The 23,595-nt window shown below is 41.5% G+C and overlaps 2 long non-coding RNA genes across 10 annotated transcripts in view, besides 2 other annotated features; one reads left to right on the top strand and one right to left on the bottom strand.

Annotated features, from left to right (window-relative positions):
• LINC02732 (long intergenic non-protein coding RNA 2732) overlaps positions 1–23,595 on the bottom strand; it is a 51,795-nt gene that overhangs the window by 27,591 nt on the left and 609 nt on the right. Inside the window, exon 2 of the long non-coding RNA NR_135100.2 lies at positions 12,784–12,957. This is a non-coding gene — a long non-coding RNA (long intergenic non-protein coding RNA 2732). The remainder of the gene's footprint in view (positions 1–12,783; positions 12,958–23,595) is intronic.
• LOC107984385 (uncharacterized) lies at positions 1,717–7,534 on the top strand. 9 transcript variants are annotated; one of them, XR_001748377.2, is made up of 3 exons: positions 1,717–1,815; positions 4,428–4,508; positions 7,149–7,534. It is a non-coding gene; the product is annotated as an uncharacterized LOC107984385 (long non-coding RNA). The 9 variants fall into 9 exon arrangements; XR_001748375.2 differs by having other exon boundaries at positions 4,053–4,508; XR_001748374.2 differs by lacking the exon at positions 1,717–1,815 and adding an exon at positions 2,147–3,970 and having other exon boundaries at positions 4,053–4,508.
• Positions 15,539–16,060: an enhancer, noted in NCBI's record as "OCT4-NANOG-H3K27ac hESC enhancer chr11:110233983-110234504 (GRCh37/hg19 assembly coordinates)". NCBI's record gives its function as "activates a minimal SCP1, AML or CMV promoter by ChIP-STARR-seq in primed H9 embryonic stem cells {active_cell/tissue: H9 hESC(primed)}" and the evidence as "EXISTENCE:reporter gene assay evidence [ECO:0000049][PMID:30033119]".
• Positions 16,120–16,414: a silencer, noted in NCBI's record as "tiled region #14338; K562 Repressive non-DNase unmatched - State 23:Low". NCBI's record gives its function as "represses a minimal TATA promoter and a strong SV40 promoter by Sharpr-MPRA in K562 cells {active_cell/tissue: K562}" and the evidence as "EXISTENCE:reporter gene assay evidence [ECO:0000049][PMID:27701403]".

Raw genomic sequence — 23,595 nt, 5'->3', positions numbered from 1 at the left:
ACAAAGTGAGCTATTTTGCAGGCTGGTAAACTTTCATCTTAAACTTCTTTGGTTCAGGTGAGGGCAACTAAGGTGGTGGGAGGGGACAGGGTATCCAAGCAGGGGCCTGGTATATCCTGTTTCTTCTGTAGTTTGCTGACTGAAGCCGATTCAAGGCACTTTGTCTTGGAAATGGACCACTGTATACATTATTTCTTTCATCAAACCTGAGCGTAGAAGTAAAGTGAAACAGCCAAAAATGCAATTCCAACTGTTAGAAAGTTATAGATAGGCCGGGCGCAGTGGCTCACATCTGTAATCCCGGCACTTTGGGAGGCTGAGGCGGGTGGATCACCTGAGGTCAGGAATTCAAGACCAGCCTGACCAACATGGTGAAACCCTGTCTCTACTAAAAATACAAAAATTAGCCAGGCACAGTGATACTTGCCTGTAGTCCCACTTACTCAGGAGTCTGAGATAGGAGAATCTCTTGAACCTGGGAGGAAGAGGTTGCAGTGAGCCGAGATCACACCACTGCACTCCAGCCTGGGTGACAGAGTGAGACTCTGTCTCAAAAAAAAAAAAAACAAAAGAAATTTGCAGATAATATCTTGGACCAGATTTCCCTGAGAGAAGGAGGGTAAAGGGCCTGGAAAACTATATAAGAAATGTGTTCACTTAGAACCACCCAGCACTTTGGAGGCCAAGGCGGGCTGATCACGAGGTCAAGAGATCGAGACCATCTTGGTTAACATGGTGAAACCCCGACTCTACTAAAAAATACAAAAAAAAAAAAAAAAAAAAAACTACAGGGCGTGGTGGTGCGCACCTGTAGTCCCAGCTACTCAGGAGGCTGAGGCAGGAGAATCGCTTGAACCCAGGAGGTAGAGGTTGTAGTGAGCTGAGATCGCATCGTTGCACTCCAACCTGGGCAACAAAGCGAGACTGTCTCAAAAAAAAAAAAAAAAAAAAAAAACCCAAGACTCAAGTCAGTCCATGTGATCCTAACAGAAGTAAAAATTATTAATGGAAGGTTCTTCAGAAAGGCAACCTTTGCACACTGAAAACAGCAATTTAGGACCTGTAACATGAATGAAAGTCTGTAGCTTCCAAAAGTCTTTAGTCCAAATAATTAATTACTATTAAAGGACACTAGAACTTTCCTCCAAAAAGCAAAATGTGTCCAGGGCCAGGCGTGGTGGCTCACACCTGTTATCCCAGCACTTTGGTCCAAGTGGGCAGATTGCTTGCGGCCAAGAGTTTAAGACCAGCCTGGGCAACATTGCTAAGCCCTATCTCTAGAAAAAAAAATATAAAAATTATCCAGGCATGGTGGCAGTAGTTGCAGCTACTGGGAGGCTGAAGTGGGAGGATCACTTGAGCCTGGGAGGCAGAGGTCACAGTAAGTCAAGATCACACCATTGCACACCAGCCTGGCCAACAGAGTGAGAACTTGTCTCAAAAAAAGAAAAGAAAATGTATCCAGGAGGTAGGACCAAAAAACATTTAAACTCTTTGTGTCCAGGAATAGAGCAGAGACCTTGAAAAGGCAGAATTAAGTATAATTGCTGTGGTCTGAATGTTTGTGTCCCCCGCTAATTCGTATGTTGAAATTCTAACCCCCAAGGTGAGGATGGTATTTAGAAAGCAGGCCTTTGGAGGCCTAGGGCATGAGGGCAGAGTCCTATGAATCAACTAAGTGCCCTTTTAAAAGGGCCTCTGCCCCTTCCACCAAGTGAGGACACAGCAAGAAGTCATGCTCTATGAGAAAGCTGGCTCTCACCAGACACCAGATCTGCTGGCACCTTGATCTTGGACTTCTCAGACTTCAAAACTGTGAGAAATAAGTTTCTGTTGTGTATTAGCTACCCAGTTTACGGTATTTTGTTGCAACAGCATGAACAACCTAGGACAATAATTTTAATGTGTAAAATTAAATTTAAATGTTAAATTAAGTTTAGCCTAAAGCTACTTCCTTACATATTTTAAGTTCAGCCTAAAGGTTTCTCCATACATAGTGAACTGTAACCTAACTGAATGTGCAAACAGACTATGACCTGCTCTTGTGACAAGCAGCTGAGGCTCAGCCAATCACAGCAGCTGAGTTTCAGCCAATCACAGGTGGCCAACTGTTTGTATAAGGCAAACACCCAGCTGTCACCAATCCAGCTGTTTCTGTACCTCACTTCTGTCTTTAGTCCGTCACTTTCCTTTCTCCATAAATGTTATTCAACCACGTAGTAGCCCCGGGTTTGCTCTGAACCTGTTCTGGTTCTGGGGGCAGCCCAACTATTGTATCATTCTCTGCTCAAACACTGTTAAATTTAATTTGTCTAAAGTGTTTCTTTTAACAAAGAGAAGGTGTATTAGATTTCCACCTAATTTGAAAATTTCAAAGCCATAATGGAGAAGCGCAGGCACTACTGGTCATTTTTGTCCAGTAGATGGAGCCCTAGTAGAAAGGAAACAGTCTGGCAAGTATCAAAATTTCTCAGAGGAAGATTTGAACGGGGAATTCACTGTGGATTCCACACCCTAAGAGTCCATTAGGCAGCCTGCCAGAGTTCTCCCCAGCCAGTCTGAGTGAGAACTCCCAGCGGAAGGACCCTGAAATGAACTAATAAAGTAACCAGCAGGACAAAGCAATGTGCCATGGAAAGAACAACAGATTTGATTTTAATCCGAATGCCAAGAGTTTGTTTTTGCAAACATACAAAACTTTAGGAATTAAGGTGGGTTGGAGGTGGATTTGTGATACTCATTGGATTAGAAATAAAAGGTTAACAAGTATATTAAAATTAAAGCCATAAGGCTGTGATTTTATGGTGTGTATGTATTTGAGGGAAAGAGGAAAAAATACATTTAAAAGGCTTGTAATTCCCTAAATACCCATGACTTATTAATTATACATGGAGTAATTAATAATACATAGAGTAATTATTACAATAATACATGGAGTAATTAAAATTTCTGCAACATTTGATTATCAAGATGTGATATAATTTATTGAATTGGATTATAGTTTGTGGATGTGCTTAGCGCTCTACTACTTTTTAAAATGCTCTCCCACACATCATCATCAGAGCACATCTCAGAGATGGAAATTTGTGATTTGCCCAAGGTTAGTGGGGCAACTGATAAAAAAAGGATCCTGTCTTACATACTCCCACCCTTTGTTGTAAGCTCCTGTTGGATGCCAAGAATCACCTGCTGCCTTAGTTCTTTGAACAGGTTTTATGTGTTTGATGGAAAAAGGGCACTTTTCAAGAGAGAGAATAGCTGAGCTTTGAAGAATGGAATGACCAGGATCTGAGTAGAGAGAGTGGCAGGAAGGGGAGCTGGGGCTAGGCAAGCTTGGGTTCACAGAGCTGCCCCTCTCTTATCTACCTGGTGGAGGGGGAGTAGAGATCATGATACTCCAACCCCTCTCTTCATGAACCTGGAGTAGGGAGAGTAGAAGAGAGAGGGAACAGGGGAATCTCATAAGATTGCTTGGTAGCATAACGACCTCGGCGAATTTAAAGTGGAACTGAGGTCCTTAGTCTTAGTCCATTTGTGCTGCTATAACAAAGTATCTTACACTGGGTAATTTATAAACAACAGAAATGTATTGCTCACAGTTCTGGAGGCTGGGAAGTCCAAGATAAAGTGCCAGCAGGTTCAATGTCTGGTAAGGGCTCATTGCACAGAGATGGTACCTCTTGCTGCATTCTCACATGGTAGAAGGGAGCAAACAGCCTCCTTTTAATCTCCTTTACATTATCCCATTTATGAAGGCAGTCTTCATGACTTAATCACTTCCCCCAAAGTCTCCACCTCCATGCTATGACATTGAGGATTAAGTTTCAGCCTATGATTTTGGAAAGCATACCAACATTCAGACCATAGAACCAGCCAATGAGATTGTGGGCTATTCTTCCACCATACTCAATGGGCAAAGACATGGAGTAGGGCAGAGAGCTGGATTTAACCAGGGTTGGAGTTTGGCCAAGTGAGTTTAAAGTACAATTAAAAGGACAAGGGAGTTTGGGATCTATTCAAGAGGGTGACTATGATGGACCATCCAATTTCAGTTGGATAAGGAAGTTGAGGACAGCAAGTCACAGTCACAGTCTGAGCCAATTCTCAGTGGCCAGGGCTATAGAAGGACACAGGCCATAAGAAGATAAGGAGGAACCTTGCACTGCTGGCCTCTGACAGTGAGTAGAACCCAATCTCTCTCTAAGCCAGTGACCCAATTTCCTCTGTCTTAAACAGCTCATAGTACAGCTGGCTCTTTCTCATTCTTCAGGCTGCTGTGAAATCTTCCCTGACTTCCCCAGCATAGGACACAGATCCTCCCTGCTGTTCTTAATAACACACTTTTTTTTTTATTTCTTTCAGGGCTTCTCACCATCTGGTTATTTTATTGATTTGTTTACATGTTTATTGTCTGTTTTTCCCACCAGAATGCAAGCTCCACAAGGCCAGGAATCTTTCCTGTCCAATTCACCACAGCAGCCTCAACCTGGCAGACAGTTCAGCATACAGTAAATATTCAAGAAATATTCATTTAACAAATTAGTTGATATTCTGGGTTGCTTGAAATGCTAAGCACTATACTAAGATTTTTATACACATTTTCTCATTTACCTCTCATCAGTCAAATATTTACTAGGGAAAAGCTGAAGCTTAATGAAGTTATATAATTTGCCAAAGGTCACAGAGCAAAGCCAAAATTTGAAACCCAGTCTTTCTGATTCTGAAATCCCTCTTCTCACCTTTGCAACTTTCATAAACAAATATTTTGTAAACCAAGCAACCATGCCTTATGCTAAGGTTTATACAAGAAAGCCAAAGAAAAAAGGAGGAAGGAGGAGATGCAAGAAAAGTGGCTGTGGCCCTAATTTTTGTTACGGCTATGGCATCTGTTCATGTGCAGACATTCTATAGAGTTCCAAATTAAATCTGCTTTCTGATTCTGGGTTCAAAGTTGGGTTTGGTTTGTTTGTTTGTTTGTTTTTGAGATGGAGTCTCGCTCTGTTGCCCAGGCTAGAGTGCAGTGGCGCCATCTCAGCTCACTGCAACCTCTCCCTCCTGGGTTCAAGCAATTCTGTTTTGTAATCCCAGCACTTTGGGAGGCCGAGGTGGGTGGATCATTTGAGGTCAGGAGTTCGAGACCAGCCTGGCCCACATGGTGAAACCCACCTCCACTAAAAATACAAAAATTAGCCAGGCGTGGTAACCTGCGCCTGTAGTCCCAGCTACTCAGGAGGCTGAAGCAGGAGAATCGCTTGAACCCAGCAGGTGGAGGTTGCAGTGAGCCAAGGTTGCACCACCGTACTCCAGCCTGGATGACAGAGTGACACTCTGTCTCAAACCAAAAAAAAAAAAAAAAAAAAAAAAAATTAAAGAAGGAAAAGATGCAAGATCTTTGTTTAAGAGCCACTACGTTTCCTCCTTATATCTTCTTCTTCTTTTCTTCTTGCTTTGTCAACTTCCTTTCAACACACTGCCTCCTTTCTCCTGAAGTATTTGTTTGGCATCTCCCAAAGTATAAAAGAGTCAAACTTAAAAAGGATACTAGCGGGTATGAAAGCAACAAAACAGAATATACAAAAATCTTGATCACCCATAAAGATCTAGGATATCAGAGAAATGTGTATACATGTGATCAGGAGATAGTGAGTTCAGGAGTAAAGGAGAACAAAACCAAATGATAATGACTCACATGTAAAAGAAAGGGAAGGTTGTGAAATTGTTTGCTACATTAGTACATGGGACAAAAATGTGATTGAAATTGTGTCATTCTTCTAATAACATGAATGTCACAAGTAAAACTAAAACTAGCAAGAGAATGTGAATAAAAGGCCCAGCTTGAAATCTCAAGCTTTCAGAAATAATGTTTTTCTATTTGCATCTCTTAGTACTGCTACAGAAAATGACTCATACATAGAAGGTCCAGAAAGGAACTAAATTACAGTGCTTTAAAACAAAACAATTACCCTGTCGTACTCTCAGTTGTCTTTAAATGAGCAAAAAGAAAGCTGAGATAGAAACCTCCTTATTCACAGCCTACACAGAAGCTCGTATGAAGGCAAATGGCTATTTTTGCCTCGGGGTGTGCCAGAATCAGGGTGAAAACTTGAACCATTTGCATTCTTTCAGGTTCAGTTTGAGGAGTAGCCAGACCTGTCATCCCTGGGAGGTCGGATCAGGGACCTAGCGTGCTTTGTCCTCTTACCACCCACTGCATGAATTGCAGTGACAGGCTTGAAGGCCACCAAGTGTGTCACTCCTTGTAAGACTGGGAAGGGCTGGAAAGAGTGTAAGGGTATCATTCCTTACCACATAGTCTCCCCACTCTTATTTGTCTATAGGAGTAAAGCTAAGTGCCTATGATACTCCTGCTTGGTGCCTGGAGCTGAGGTGTTCTCCTAAGGTAAAGGGTGATCCTGGAGAAGGGGCTTTCCATTCTCCATGCACAGATGGACCTGTCCATCACTCACACCCTCCAGAATCCACAGTGAGCAAAGGCAATTTCTCCAAAATTATATCTATTTTATTTTACTTTCTTTTTTTTTTTTTTTGCATTTTTGCATGTTACAGGAAAATAAATGTGTTTTAATTTTTTTATCTTAAGACCTAATCACTTTTATTTCATATCCAGGGAGAAAAGACAAAATATTTTAAAATTGGCAACCGGGCATGGTGGCTCATGTCTGTACTCCCAGCACTTTGGGAGGCCGAGATGGGCGGATCACTTGAGGTCAGGAATTCAAGACCAGCCTGGCCAACATGGCAAAACCCCATCTCTACTGAAAATACAAAAAAGAAAAAAAAATTAGCCACCTTGGATGTGGGCATCTGTAATCTCCGCTACTCAGGAGGCTAAGGCAGGAGAATCACTTGAACCCGGGAAGTGGATGTTGCAGTGAGCTGAGATTGTGCCACCGTACCCCAGCCTGGGTGACAGAGCAAGATTCCATCTCAAAAAAATAAAATAAAATAATAAAATTAAAAATTGGCATTTGGGATAACAAGGAAGCTCCATTCTGAAATAGATTCCAATTAGATCAAAGATTGAAATGCTAAAAGGAAATTGCAAGGCACTAGAGGAAAACACGGAAAGAACCCCCATTAAATATTGTAGACTGACCATATGCTTTCATCTTCTCTCCCTGTCGTAGGCTAAATAATGGCTCCCAAAGATGTGTCTACATCCTAATCTCCAGAATCTGTGAATGTTACTTTATGTGGCAAGTACGTGGCAGATGTAATTAAGTCAAGGATCTTTGGATGGTTATCCTGAATTATCTGGGTGGGCCCTAAATACAATCACAAGTGTCCTTATAGGAGAGAGGCTGAAGGAGATTTGGTACCAACAGAAGAGGAGGAGGAAATTGTGATCATGCAGAAACTGGAGTGATGGAGTCACAAGCCAAGGAATGCCAGCAGCCACCAGAAGCCGAAAGAGGCCCTGCCAACACCTTGATTTAGGCCTAATGAAACTGAGTTTAGATTTCTGGACCCCAGAACTGTGAAAGAATAAATTTCTGTTGTGTTAAGCCCCTAATTTTGTGGTAATGTGTCACAGCAGCCCTTGGAACCTAATACACTCCCCAAGCCATCACAATGACGGTTAAGGGAAGTAAAACGATAAAATTCATAAAGATAAAGAGAATAACAGAAAAGGATTTCAATAAGTGTTTGGAAGATGGAAAAGGAAAGAATGAGAAGCAACTTACTTATCAGAGTAGAGAAAATTACCTGAGAGCCTGGAGAAAGGGAAGTGAATAAGACAGAGTCAGTTCTCCCCAGAGAAGCCAGACACAGGGTCATTGAGCACCAAGCAGGGGCAGGAGTGGGGTGCAGGGCTGGCACTGGGGATAGAGTGGAAACATTAACATGGACCTTGGATCCCTGGGCCCTGACTCCTCTGACACTGGTCTTCCTGAACTAGCTGCATCCCTTCTTGTCATGCCCTCCACTCCAGTCCCTGCCCTTGACCCCACCACCACCACCTCAGCTGACACACATCAGTTCAGCTCACACTCCTTCTGTTAGAAAGAACCAGTCACAAGGTTCTTCCTGAATGCAATGGGGCTGGGAAATGCTGAGCAGTGCCAGGCACAGGCTTCCTCTAAACCACTCTGCACCAAGGAAGAAGGACATTTTTTTGATGGTCTAATACCCGTCTCTGCCACACTCTCTAAGGCAATTAATTTTAAAATTTTAGAATACTGGAAATAAAGAAAAGATACTAAAAACTTCCAGAATGAAAAACCAGGTCACATATTGCCTTATGGATCAGCAATCTGACTGGCATCAGCCTTTTCAATAGCAATACAAAATGCCAGAAGACAACAGGGCAATGCCCTCAAAATTCTGAGAGAAAATATCTTGCTAATAAAACATCTATTACACCTAGCAAGCAGCCATCCCAAAGGCAGAAGGCTGTGAAAGAACAAAAGGGAGCTATCTAGGGAGAAAAACATAACTGTTAATTATTATTATAATAATAATATATTTTTAGAGACAAGGTCTCTGTCAACCCATGCTGAGGTGCAGTGGCACAATCATAGCCCACTGCTATGGGCTGGAACTCATGGGCTCAAGTGATCCCCCCACCTCAGCCTCCCAGGTAACTAGGACTAGAGGCACATACCACCACACCCAACTTATTTTTGCTTTTATTTTTTGTAGAGGGGTCTCCTTATGTTGCCCACGCTGCTCTAGAACTCCTGGCTTCATGCAGTCCTCTTGCCTTGGCCTCCCAATGTGCTGGGATTACAGGCATAAGCCACCATGCCCAACCTTTAATAATTATTTAATGTGTTTGGGAATTTGGAGGAAAAGGATTACCAAAAGTTTGCCAAATCTCCAGTATCCTTTGAACAGAAAAAAATAGTAATTGTATGTAGAAAACTAAGCAATTTGGCCAGTGATGAAGGGGATTAGCAATTACTAATGTCAGAAAAAGCAGAAGGTTATACAAGAAAGAAGATATGATGACAAGATCCTATTTGGTTCAGTGGTGAATAATATTTAATAGTGACAAAAATGTAAACACTGACTTTTGGCTTAACTAAGTTGTTTTTTTTTTTTTTTTTGAGATGGAGTCTCACTCTGTTGCCCAGGCTGGAGTGCAGTGGCACAATCTCGGCTCACTGCAACCTCCGCCTCCTGGGTTCAAGCAATTCTCCTGCCTCAGTCCCCTGGGTGGCTGGGACTACAGGTGCATGCCACCATGCCCAGCTAATTTTTGTATTTTTAGTAGAGACAGGGTTTCACCACGTTAGCCAGGATGGTCTTGATCTCCTGACCTCGTGATCCGCCCACCTCGGCCTCCCAAAGTGCTGGGATTACAGGCATGAGCCACTGCGCCTGGACAAGTAAGCAATTTATATAACTGTATTGGAAAAATGAAGAGAGGGAAATAGGAAGGGTTAGAGTTGGATAAGAAATCAAAGGCTTCAACAATTTCCTTCCTAGGATCATACTCTATACATATTTTTGACACATATGCAAAGATTTATGTACAAAGATTTATGTACAACAATTTATGTACAAAGATTTCCATCATTGAATAAGAAATAGCAAAAACAGAGATGACTTAAATATCTATGAATTGGAGACTCTAAAACAGATTATGTTTGAATGAAATACAGTTTTTGTGGGGTGTTTTTGAGATGGAGTCTCACTCTGTCGCCCAGTGCAGAGATGTGATCTCAGCTCACTGCAACCTCCGCCTCCAGAATTCAAGCAAATCTCCTGCCTCAGCCTCCCGAGTAGCTGGGATTATAGGCACGTGCCACCACACCTGGGTAATATTTGTATTTTTAGTAGAGACAGGGTTTCACCATGTTGGTCAGGCTGGTCTCGAACTCCTGACCTCAATTCATCCACCCGCCTCAGCCTCCGAAAGTGCTGGAATTACAGGTGTGAGCCACCGTACCCAGCCTATTTTAATTTTTTTTTTTTTTTTTTGAGACAAGGCATTGCTCTGTTGCCCAGGCTGGAGTGCAATGGCACAATCTCGGCTCACTGCAACCTCTGCCTCCTGGGTTCAAGCCATTCTCCTGCCTTAGCCTCCCAAGTAGCTGGGACTACAGGCGCAAGCCACCATGCCCAGCTAGTTTTTGTATTTTTAGTAGAGAAGGGGTTTCACCATGTAGGTCAGGGTGGTCTCAAACTCCTGACCTCAAGTGATCCACCTGCCTTGGCCTCCCAAAGTGCTGGGATTACAGACATAAGCCACCGCGCCCAGCCCGCATTTGTTTTAAAGCCATCCCCAATATATGCTGACGTGATCTCTGGATACTGAAAATAAAACAAGACAAAATACACAAACAGAAACAAAGTGGAGACTAATGGGTCCATATACTACCACCTGTGAGTATTTTAATGCATGTATCAATATACACATACACATTCACAAACATTGAGTCTTATGTATATACAGACTATCTGAAAAAATACACAAGAAACTGCCTGTAGCAATCGACTTTGTGGAGGGGAATTATGGTTAAGAGGGCAGAGATAGATAGGGAATTGATGTAGTTTGGATGTTTGCCCTCTCCAAACCTCATGTTGAATATGCTCCCCAGGGCCGGGCACGGTGGCTCACGTTTGTAATCCCAGCACTTTGGGAGGCCGAGGCGGGCGGATCACAAGGTCAGGAGTTTGAGACCAGCCTGACCAACATGGTAAAACTCTGTTTCTACTAAAAATACAAAAATCAGCTAGGCGAACTACGGGTGCCTGTAATCCCAGCTACTAGGGAGACTGAGGCAGGAGAATCACTTGAACCCAGGAAGCTGAGGTTGCAGTGAGCCCAGATCACGCCACTGCACTCAGCCTGGGCAACAGAGTGAGACTCTGTTGAAAGAAAGAAAGAGAGAGAGAGAGAGACAGAGACAGAGAGAGAGAGAGAGAACTCCCCACTGTTGGAGGTGGGACCTGGTGGGAGGTGTTTGGGTCATGGGGGCAGATCCCCCTTGCCATCCTCATGGTAATGAGGAAGTTCTTGCTCCGTTCACGCTCTGTTCATTCACATGAGAGCTGGTTGTTTAAAGGAGATTGGCACCTCCTCTCTCTATCTCTCTCTCCTGCTCTCTCTCTTGCCATGTAACATACCAGCTCCCTCTTTGCCTTCTTTCATGAGTGGAAGCTTCCTGAGGCCTCACGAGAAGCAGATGCCAGCACTATGCTTCATGTACAGCCTGAGAACCATGAACCAAATAAACCTCTGTTCTTTATAAATTACCCAGCCTTAGGTATTCTTGTATAGCAACACAAATGAAGTAATACAGGGACCTACTCTTCACTGTATATAATTTTGTCACTTAAAAATTTTATGCTAGTGAATATATTACTTATATAATAAATACATGAATATTCACTATTAATATTATTCATGAATAATATAGTAATTATTGATTCAAATGAATAATTTTTCAAACGAAGGATAAAAGCAACCTGTTAAAAGACGAAAAATTTTTAAAAACACAAAATTAGCCCCCTTAATAGCTTCATATATCAAACATAATCTTAAAATATCTTTTCAGTATGTTTAACAATTTTCCTTTAGGTGGCAGTAATTACATATTTATTTTTTATAATAGCCACCTGACTAGCCTTTAGAATCAGTTCAACAATAATATTTGGTTGTCTTATTTTTCCTTTTCATAGGAAAAAAAATGTTTAAATATTAGAACCTACATTTATAAAATGCATGGCCCAGAAATGTTCCTGACTATTGTTATTGAAAATGAGAGAAAACAAGTTACAATTCAAGGGATATAAAACAGACTGGAAGGATATTCACCAACATGTTGGCAATGTTTGTCTCTGGGAAGTAGAACAATTAATAGGTGAGTTTGTTTTGCTCTTTTTGCTTTTCCAAATTTTCTACCATGAACATGGTTTTGTTTGTTTGTTTGTTTTTGTTTGTTTGTTTGTTGAGACAGAGTCTTGCGCTATTGCCCGGGCTGGAGTGCGGTGGCGTGATCTCGGCTCACTGCAACCTCCACCTCCTGGGTTCAAGTGATTCTCCTGCCTCAGCTTCCCAAGTAGCTGGGATTACAGGCAGCTGCCAGAACATGGTATCTTTTAACAGCTTGTTTATTCTGCAATCCTGACCCATTAAAGGCTTCTTAAGCCCTGGATAATTGAAGGTGGTATGGGCTTCAGTCTTATCTGGCTCTCAAGTATTTCTAATATCACCAACCCCTTTGATTTCTTAACTGTGGAATGAAAATAATGACAGAAACTTTAGGCATCTCATTATATGACTATCGAGGGAGAGGTTTGGGAGTGAAGGATCCTTTTAATACTCCTCAAATCCAGAAATTATTTACTACCAAGTTAATAAAACTATTTCAGGACCTTCCTCCCATCCACCCCACCCCACCCATTTGTATTAATCCCTTTCAAAACCTTATAACTAATTGTGAATTCATCATTTCATATTTTTAGAAGGCCCACAACACTAGATCCACCATTGCCAAAGCACACCAAAATACTCTTTGACAACTTTGTAAACATCCATGCTCTGAAAGGTATGGGGGGAATATCTGTAAGCTCCCCACTGAACTAAAGTTCTCCAGGCCAGGGACCAAGCTTCCCACACTTTTCTAACCCTGTTGCCTAGTACATGTCTGGCACACTTCAGGCATTCGAAAACATTTGTAGGACTGTTGAACAGAAGTAACTATTCATGGATAGGTAAAAGCCTCCCTAAGTGTTTTCTTATTCATGGGATAGTTGAGAGTAAATTCTTATAGAGCTGTGTCTGGTGGCTAGCAGAAAGGCTATACCTACTCAAATCAACAGGCCGCACAGAAAAGTCTCCTTGTCCCCAGAAGGGCCCTCGGGAGTGACTGGAGAGCAGATCCCGCCAGGTCACCACAGTGCTACACTTCAGGTTGGCTCTGTGCCCGGCTGAGGAAAAGGAATCTCTCTCCCCTCCTTGAAAACATGCCTCAGCATATTTATCTGTGAAACAGAGAAGAAAACAAATATGGTATGTGATTTACAAATTCGCTCAAACAGGAATGCAAACTGGTGTGAGACACCAAATGAGAAGAGTGAGAATTTAAATGCCAGTGCCCTGTGATGCAACAATTCCCCCTCTGGGTGTACACCCCAAAAAATGGAAACAGGGGCCGGGCACGGTGGCTCACGCCTGTAATCCCAGCACTTTGGGAGGCCAAAGCGGGTGGATCATGAGGTCAGAAGATTGAGATCATCCTGGCCAACTCGGTGAAACCCTGTCTCTACTAAAAAATACAAAAAATTAGCCGGGCCTGGTGGTGGGAGCCTGTAGTCCCAGCTACTCGGGAGGCTGAGGCAGGAAAATGGTGTGAGCTGGGGAGGCGGAGGTTGCAGTGAGCTGAGATCGTGCCACTGAACTCCAGCCTGGGCAACAGAGCGAGACTCCGTCTCAAAAAAAAAAGAAAAAAAGAAGCAGGGACTTGACCAAATATTTATACACCTGTATCATAACAGCCTTATTCATAACGGCCAAGAGCTGAAGCACCCCAAGTGCCTATGGACAGATAAGTGGATAAACAAAACATGGTGTACACATGCAGTGGAATATTCTTCAGTCTTAAAAAAGAATGACACACCTTTAATCCCAGCACTTTGAGAGGGCAAGATAGGTGGATCACTTGAGACCAGGAGTTTGAGACCAACCCAGGCAACATGGCGAAACTCCATCTCTACAAAAAATTAGCCAGGCGTGGTGGCATGTGTCTGTAGTCCCAGGTATTTGGGAGGCTGAGGTGGGAGGATCACTTGAGCCTGGGAAGTCAGGACTGCAATGAGCCATGATCACACCACTGCACTCCAGCCTGGGCAGCAGAGCAAGACCCTGTGCCCGGCCCAAAAGTATTTTTAATGTCACTGAACTGTACACTTAAAAAGAGTTAACATGGTAAATTTTATGTCTTGTGTATTTTACTATCTAAAAAAAAAGAACAGGCCGGGTAAAAAAACAGAACGCCTGTAATCCCAGCACTCTGGGAGGCCGAGACGGCGGATCACGAGGGCAGGAGATTGAGACCATCCTGGTTAACACCGTGAAACCCCGTCTCTACTAAAAATACAAAAAAATTAGCCAGGAGTGGTGGCGGGCGCCTGTAGTCCCAGCTACTTGGGAGGCTGAGGCAGGAGAACGGCGTGAACCCAGGAGGCAGAGCTTGTAGTGAGCCGAGATTGTGCCACTGCACTCCAGCCTGGACGACAGAGGGAGATTCCATTTCAAAAAAAAAAAAAAAAAAAAAAAGAAGCCAAAATAATACTATCCAGGTGGAACTAGGAAGTAAGGAATATTTCTCTATATTTTATGAATATAAAAATAAGAAGGAATTGAATATTTATTCCATAACTGCTCTGTAATATAAATATGAATTATTTGCAGATATTAATGATAATGCTAATATCTAATGAGGCCCATACTATGTGTCAGGTAATGTGCTAAGGGACTTATGTATACTATCTTAATATTCAAAACCATCCTATGAAGTAGGTACTATTATTATCTTCAATTTAAAATTCAGAAAATGGAGGTTTAGAAAACGTAAATCCTTTTCCCAAGACCACAGGTTAGTGAGTAGTAGAACTCAGATCTGGCCTCAGATTTCCTAGCTTTGAGCACCTTGCTCATTTCACATTTTGGGTTCTGTTTCTTACAATCAAAATGTTTGTGTTTTTTTGTTCTTGTTTGTTTTGTTTTTGTTTTTGTTTTTTTCCTTTTTGAGACAAGGTCTCGCTCTGTTGCCCAGGCCAGTGTGCAGTGTCGCCATCTTGGCTCACTGCAGCCTTGACCTCCTGGGCTCAAAAATCCTCCCACCTCAGCCTCCTGAGTAGCTGGGACTGCAGCAGCCATGCACTACCACACCTGGCTAATTTTGGGTTTTTTTTTTTTTTTTTTTAGAGATGGGATCTCACTATGTTGCCTAGGCTGGTCTTAAACTCCTGGACTCAAGCAATCCTCATGGCTTGGCCTTCCAAAATGCTGGGATTTCAGGCGTGAGCCACCACACCTGGCCTGTGGTTGTTTTTGTCTTAAGTTAAACACTTCTTTAAGGAATTTGTAAGGATGGGAATTTGAATTAGGAGACTCCAAATGGCATTTATGTGTCCAGAGGATATAAGAGTTGAACAGCAGCACTTCTTACAAAATTGTGCCTAAAACAATGCCTTGGCAAGCTGCCCCTCATATTCACTGAGGAACCGAGGTACTCAAGTCAAAATCCCAAGGTAAAGGGACTGGGAAGACACTAGCAACAGTGACCATGTCTTCCTTTTCAGGTACAGATAATTTTGTAAAATAATTCTAAAATGACACTGTAATTTTTTTTACTTTCAGACTTCATAGCTGTAATTTCTGACACATTGCTGAGTATTAATTTTTAAAATAAGCATAACCTGGGCAAAACATTGGAACCAACTGAGAGATCTAGTGATTGTATTCTGATAATTTATATTAATAGGAATCTGCCTTTCCCCCAAAGGATTAACTGGATGCATTACTGTATTTGCTTTTCACGTGTATGTGTATTGCGTGTGTGTGTGCGTGTGCTTGTGCATGTATGTGTACTGTGTGTGTGCGCTTGTACACAAAATGGTGGATGAGCACATGTATTTACCTCTTCTATCTTCCACATTCCCATAAAAGTGACAGAAAATATTCTTTAAAGAAAATGAGTGAATAACAGCAATAGGAAACAAGAAAGAGTGTCATCAGCACACAAGAGTTTTGGGAAATTTCTAAAAGATACAAAGCAGATGGATGAACTGATGAGAAACTGCAGGCCAGGGCACAGGAAATAAGTATGTGTCTTCCCAAGGGGGCCCAGAGAAACTCCTCACTTGGTCAACAATACAATGATGGGCCGTGCGGGCAATCAACAGTGGCCTCATTAAAGAACTGGATTCAGTGCCTTGGGACAGCTGGGCCCCTTTCCTGTGACCTGTGTAAACAAAGCTAGGCAGCTGAGACTTTTGGCCTCGGGCTACAAGCCAGGGCACTGCTTTTTAGAAAGAAAGGGCAGAGAGAGTGTTCCTCCGGAGGGTCTTGTAGCTTAAAAGGAGATAACTGAAGAAACTTTGAATCTCTACATTTATAAACTCAGAGGGGAAACAATCAAACTCAAAATGCGTCTCTACCTCCTCCTGGGGAAGCTCAGGTTCCCCAGCCTTCTTGCCTACTCTGCCCACAGGAAACCTACAGGGAAGCCTTCCTGTCCAAAAGTCCTGCCTACTTACACAGAACTCGTGCCAGTCATTCTATTCAGGGAAAACCTTCCTGGAGAAACAAACCTAAACAATTGAAGAGGAAACCCACACAAGCTGGTTGTGCTAAATTAAGGCATTTGTTTGGTTCTGAATTCATTCAAATGAATAGACAATAGAGAACACCACACTTCTCAGGAAAAACAATACAAAAGTGAAAGCTTTAGAAAACAAAACAACTGACCCAAAGGAAAAAGATAATCCAAGCAGGGGAAAATAATTAAAAAAAAAAAAAACCTAATTAACACACACACGAAATCAATCATATTCCAAACACCTAAATTAACAAATTAATAAAATTAGTATTTAAAACAATACTAGTAACAATGCTAATTAGGATAATCAGGAATTTATAGCGTACTACAATCTTAATTACAGTTTGCTATGACAAGTAGCAATCAGAGAACACAAAAGAGTTATTAGGAACTAAAAATAAACGTTTCAAAGGGATGACTAAACAATAATACAGACACAACCGAAGATCAATTTGATTACCTGAAAGATAAAGTAAAATGACAGAAAATATGAGAGAAAATTAAAATATGTAGAAGTTAACTCTGAGAAATCTAATACCTATAAAAATGTGGTTTTAGAATGTATTTAGGACTGTGGAGAAAAATAAATAATCCAGAAAATAAAATTTTCCTGTGCTAAAGAGTTTTTAGGACCAGGCATGGTGTCTCTCGCCTGTAATCCCAGAACTTTGGGACACCGAGGTGGGCAGATCACTTGAGGCCAGGAGTTCGAGACCAGCCTGGCCAACATGGCAACACCTCATCTCTACTAAAAACACAAAAATTAACTGGGTGTGGTGGCACACGCCTATAGTTCCAGCTACTCAGGAGGATGAGGCACAAGAATCGCTTGAACCCAGGAGATGGAGGCTGCAGTGAGCTGAGATCGCACCACTGCACTCCAGCCTGGGTGATAGAGCGAGACTTGGTCTCAAAAAAAGAAAAGAAAAAAGGTTTTAGATTGAAATCTCACCAATTTTTAAGCAAGGGGAGGAAAAATATGCATACACATCACACACATACACACACACACACACACACACACACACACACACAGAGCTAAAGATATCCTGGTAAGGCCAGGTGTGGTGGCTCACACCTGTAATCCTGGCACTTTGGGAAGCCAAGATGGGCAGATCACCCGAGGTCAAAAGTTCGAGATTAGCCTGGCCAGCGTGGCAAAACCCCATCTCTACTAAAAATACAAACATTGGCCAGACTCAGTAGCATGCACCTGTAATCCTGTAATCCTGTAATCCCAGCTACTCAGGAGGCTGAGGCAGGAGAATTGCTTGAACCCAGGAGGTAGAGGTTGCGGTGAGCTGGCATTGCACCACTGCACCCCAACTGGGCAACAGAGCGAGACTGTCTAAAAAAAAAAAAGGGCTGGGCGCAGTCGTTCACACCTGTAATCCCAGCACTTTGGGAGGCCAAGGTGGGCAGATCACAAGGTCATGTGTTCGAGACCAGCCTGGCCAACATGGTGAAACCCTGTCTCTACTAAAAATACAAAAATTAGCCGGGTGTGGTGGCACACACCTCTAATCCCAGCTACTCAGGAGGCTGAGGCAGGAGAATCACTTGGACCCGGGAGGCAGAGGTTGCAGTGAGCCAAGATCACGCCACTACATTCCAGCCTAGGCGACAGTGAGAGACTCTGTCTCAAAAAAAAAAAAAAAAAAGATATCCTGATAAAATTGTAGAATTCAGAATACGAAGAAAACCCTAGAAGGTAAAAAAAAAAAAAAGAAAGAAAACAATAATAAGATTGTCATCCAATTTCTTTTTTTTATAAGAAAATATTTTGAAGTCTTTATTCACAAAACCTTTAAAAACAAATAATACCCTCTGTTTTGCAAATAATGTTTTGTTTAAAAAGGACCACCCAGTTACAGCACTGTAATATCATGAATAAAGAATGTACAAGGGAGACAAACCAATGTGACTAACATTTGGAGATTTGCTAATATTACTGATTGAAGTGTAGGTAACACACATTATAACTTGTAGTCCATCATTTCAGGGTAGAGTTAATGATCACCAAAAAGTCTTCCTACACATGCTCTGGTCTGGTCACGTATTCTGCATTGCTTAAATATTTCACAGTCTCTTTTGTCTATATATAAAATAGATTTCAAAGATATACACAAAAAAAAACAAACATTACACTCCTCAGGTAATTTTATTAGCTCTATATATATATATATTGTTGCTTTGTACCAAATCTCTCCATTATTTACCTTTGTAGCAACTATGAAAGCGTAATTTTTGTCTTCTAATTTAATTTGGTACAAAATATACCTAAAGACTTGTAATCTTTGGATTTTAATAAAATTGATTTTTGTAACCAACAAATCAAGAGCATCATAAGAATGGCTACAAAATTTTAAAAAAGGGGTAAATGGTGATGGAATAAAAATAAGCAGATCAAGGGAAGTGTGCTATCATAAAATAACTGTAGCTTCAACATCTTGAGTACCAGTTTTCTGGCAGATACTAAACATCCAATCACAAGGGATTTTTCCTGAAGGGTATAAAGCTGATTTGAAAATTCTTCAGTCACAGAGCAGCCTACACATGCCAATTAGAAACTGGATTGTCATCCAATTTCTTTTCAGCAATACTAATCACTGGAAGATAATTAATTAATAAAACTAATATATATTGAGTGTATCGTGTGCTACACATTGTTCTATATCTTTGGGAGACATCAGTGATCAGTGAATCAAACAGACAAAAATCTTGCCTTCATGAATCTTACATTCTGTTGGCAGACAGCCTTCAAAGTTTTGAAGGGAAAAAAATAAATCTTGGAAATCTAAGCCTGGTCCAACTATCAATCAAATGTAAGGGCTAAATAAAGACATATTTAAACTGACAGGAATTCCGGAATATTACTTCTTATACAAATCAAAACAAAAATTCAAAGTATTCCAACAAAATACAAGCCAGGCATGGTGGTGCACCTGCAGTCCCAGCAACTTGGGAGGTTGAGGCATGAGGATTGCTTGAGTCCAGTTCAAAACTAGCAAATTAAAAGCCATCCAAGAAAGAAAACAAGAAACATACCATTTGAATGTAACCCGCAGGAAATGGAGAAAACCAGAAAAGAAGACAAAGAAGGAAAGTAGGAGGGAGGGAGGGAGGGAAGGAAAGTAGGAGGGAGGAGGGAAGGAAAATAGGAGGGAGGAAAGGAGGGAGGGAAGGAGGAGAGAAGGAAAATAGGAGGAAAGAAAGAAAGGAAGCTTCAAAGGGAGGAAGAGAGGGAGAGAAGGAAGGAAGGACCCATTAGACCTTGAAGGAAGGATCCATTAGACCTTGAAGCAAGGATCCATTAGACCTTGAAGCTTAGAAGAATCTCATCTGAGCTGGAAAATTTCCATTAAATAAGATTACTTTTGGCTGGGCATGATGGCTCACGCCTGCAGTTACAGCACTTTGGGAGGCCAAGGCGGGTGGATCACGAGGTCAGGAGATCGAGACCATCCTGGCTAACACAGTAAAACCCCGTCTCTACTAAAAATACAAAAAAAATTAGCTGGGCATGGTGGTGGGCGCCTGTAGTCTCAGCTACCCGGGAGGCTGAGGCAGGAGAATGGCATGAACCCGGGAGACGGAGCTTGCAGTGAGCCGAGATCGTGCCACTGCACTCCAGCCTGGGCTACAGAGAGAGTCTCGGTCTCAAAAAAAAAAAAAAAGATTATTTTTTCTTCCACATGGGGTTTATCCATACGAGTCAATTATAGAAAACCTATGTGCCTACCGCTGTGCTGAGTGAAGGATCACTTCCACTCAGGATTCTCATTTTTAATCCTCAGAAGACTTAATTATAATTACAGAGCAGAATGTAAACATAGTAAACCATGAATATACACACACACACACACACACAATTGAGAGGTGGACTCTCTTATATAAATGGGAATCAAAAGACTCTGTCTAAATAAATAAATTTAGAAATGGAAGTTTAGGTACATTATTTAAAGTTATAAATAATAATTTTAAATATAATTTTTAGAAAAATTAGGGCTGGGCGTGGTGGCTCACGCCTGTAATCCCAGCACTTTGGGAGGCCCAGGTGGGCGGATCACGAGGTCAGGGGTTCGAGACCAGCCTGACCAACATGGTGAAACTCCGTCTCTACTAAAAATACAAAAATTAGCCGGGCATAGTGGCACGCTCCTGTAATCCCAGCTACTCAGGAGGCTGAGGCAGGAGAATTACTTGAACCCAGGGGAGAGAGGAGGAGTTTGCAGTGAGCTGAAATCATGCCATTGCACTCCAGCCTGGGTGACAGAGAGAGACTCTGTCTCAAAAAAAAAAAAAAGAAAAAAAATTAAAAATTTTATAATACAACTAACACAAATTGGAGATGGAGAAGAACAGAAAGATTGGGAGGAAGTGTAAACACAAGAAATTTCCCATCTTTTTTGAAGTCAGTAGGTACTTTCTAAAGTTGACAAAGGGAAAAACAGAGCTGTAAGCATGGAATTTTAAATTATAATGGCAACCGCCACACCATCTAACAATAGCCGATGACAGTGCTTGTTTCTAGAGCATGGGCCTAGGCTGGAATGGATGGAGGTCATATTCATTTTACACCCTTCTTTTTCTACTGATAAGATTTTTTCTTATTATGTGCATGTATAACTTCTATAAAATAACATAAAATAACAACAATAATATATATTTACGTATAAATTTATATTATATGTAAGTATATATAGATTTGTATACAGTATTTAAATAAATATTTTCATTGAGTGAAAAGATGCCAAATTATCTTTTCCACAAATATAACAATAATATTTATTTATTTATTTATTGAGAGGGAGTTTTGCTCATCACCCAGGCTGGAGTGCAATGGCACCATCTCGGCTCACTGCGACCTCCAACTCTTGGGTTCAAGTGATTCTCCTGACTCAGCCTCCCATGTAGCTGGGACTACAGGAGCCCACCACCATGCCCAGCTAATTTTTGTATTTTTAGTAGAGACGGGGTTTCACCATGTTGGCCAGGCTAGTCTCGAACTCCTGACCTCAGGTGATTCACCCACCTCGGCCTCCCAAAGTGCTGAGATTACGGAGGGTGAGCCACTGCGCCCGGCCAACATAGGCTATTCTGTAACTGAAAGATGAGTTGCTTAGTCATGGCTACTAAACGTCCTCCATACTTAGCTAAAAGCTCATGGTTCTTAGGAAAGGTGTCTTAGGACAAAGAGAATTTAGGATATTAATTACTCTCTTTTTTAAGTTGAAAAGAAAAAGTAAAACCCTTCCTTCTTGTGACTTAGTCTACAAAAAAAAAAGAAAAAAGAGAAAGAAAGAAAAAGTAAAAACCTCTCCCCAGCTTTTCTGATTTTTGGATTTGAGGAAAGTTGCAAATACTGTCTGTCCTAAACTTTTTGACATTACAAATGACTCAAAACTGCCCAAGGGACTTTGAGACTTTTCAGAAAAGGAATTTATCACTGAGGATTACTCATCTGTCAAACTAGAATAAAATGTAGTTTTGTGTGAGGCGACCTTCTTTCACAGTTACTGTTTATTGAGCCCAGGAATGCTATGGCATAGAGGGCAGGGTGTGAGTCAGAAAGCCTTGCTGTCCCAGCTGTGTCCCCAACTAGCCAAGTGACCCAATGCCACCCACTTAATCTTTAGTTCCTTCATTTGTAGAGTGTGGATAAAACAACTCTTCTCACCGCTTCATATTGTCCCTGTGAGGATCAGAGAGGATAAATCGAATGAAAGTTCTTTGAAACCCTACAAACTACTATAAAATTACAGTGTTGTAATATGTGATCATGGATTTCAAAGTTGGAAAGAACTTAGACCTTATCTAGTCAAACTTATCTAATTCATAGTTTCTTTCTCTCAGTCTGTTACTTGCTTAGAGCCACTATGTTTATTATTACTGTTGTGACACAAATTGATTTAAAATTATATCCTTCTGAATTATGTCTGTTTCTAAAATTTTATAGACTCATAGGCTATTAATGCTGCAAGGGACTTTGCCAATCATTTCATCTAATCCCCTTGTTTTAAACATGAAGCAATAGCAGCCGAAAGAGGGTGACTGGCCTTAGATAAATACAGGACAATGAACTCAGATCTTAGATTAAAACCTAGATCTCCACATTCCCAGGCATACAGACCTTTCCTACGTCACTGCTGAAGCAAGAAAATAATGGCCATTTGTGGATAAGCTTAGTTAATTGAGGTGTATACTGCCCTGACAAGATTACACTAATCATTCTAACCATTTTTATAACTTTCAAAAGATTTTTCTTTCCTCAAAAAGGAATTACACAACAAAAATGTAAAAATAAAGGAAAAACTTTTTAAATTAAAAAGTAATAACACTTGAAAAAATAATATACACACTCATATCTATTCTTTAAATGAAACTAAGATTTTTTTTTTTTTTGTGGGGGATGGAGTCTCGCTCTGTTGCCCAGGCTGGAGTGCAGTGGTGTGATCTCGGCTCACTGCAACCTCCGCCTCCTGGGTTCAAGCGATTCTCCTGCCTCAGCCTCCCGAGTAGCTGGGACTACAGGCACCCACCACCACGCCTGGCTAACTTTTGTATTTTTAGTAGAGACAGGGTTTTCATCATGTTAGCCAGGCTGGTCTCGAACTCCTGACCTCAAGTGATCTACCCACCTCGGCCTCCCAAAGTGCTGGGATTACAGGCGTGAGCCACTGTGCCTGGCTGAAACTAAGATTAAGTACTAGAACAATTAGGCATTTAATAGTCAAATTAATTACCAACATTTTAGTATAACTTGGTTTAATTTAGTCCCTAATACAGATCCTTAGAAGCGGGGCAGAAGAATGTAAATGGCAAAGAACACAGTGTTTAAAATCAAACAAACATGGGTTCAATTCTAGCTCTGCCATTTACTAGCTATGTAAATTTTGAAAATATATTCAACCTCCTGAAGCCTCAGTGTCCTCAATATATAAAGGGAATAGTAGGCTGGGCGTGGTGGCTCATGCCTATAATCCCAGGACTTTGGCAGGCTGAGGCCAGAGGACCATTTGAGCCCAGGAGTTCGAGACCAGCCTGGGCAACATAGTGAGACCCCCAACTCTAAAAAAAATTTAAAATTAGCCAAGAGTGGGTGGCACACACCTAACATCCCAGCTACTGGGGAGTAGGGAGGGGGAGACGCTCAGGCAGGAGGATCTCTTGAGCCCAGGAGGTTGAGGTTGCAGTGAGGTGTGCACTCTAGCCTGGGTGACAGAGTGAGACTCTGTCTCTAAATAAATAAATAAAGGGAATAGTAATGAGAATTATTTCATAAGTTGGTTATGAG

This window comes from Homo sapiens, chromosome 11 (genome assembly GCF_000001405.40).
Source record: "Homo sapiens chromosome 11, GRCh38.p14 Primary Assembly".
In the NCBI taxonomy this organism is placed as follows: Eukaryota; Metazoa; Chordata; class Mammalia; order Primates; family Hominidae; genus Homo; species Homo sapiens.
The sequence above is the reverse complement of the archived record's forward strand: the minus strand, read 5'-3'. Positions and strand labels throughout refer to the sequence as shown.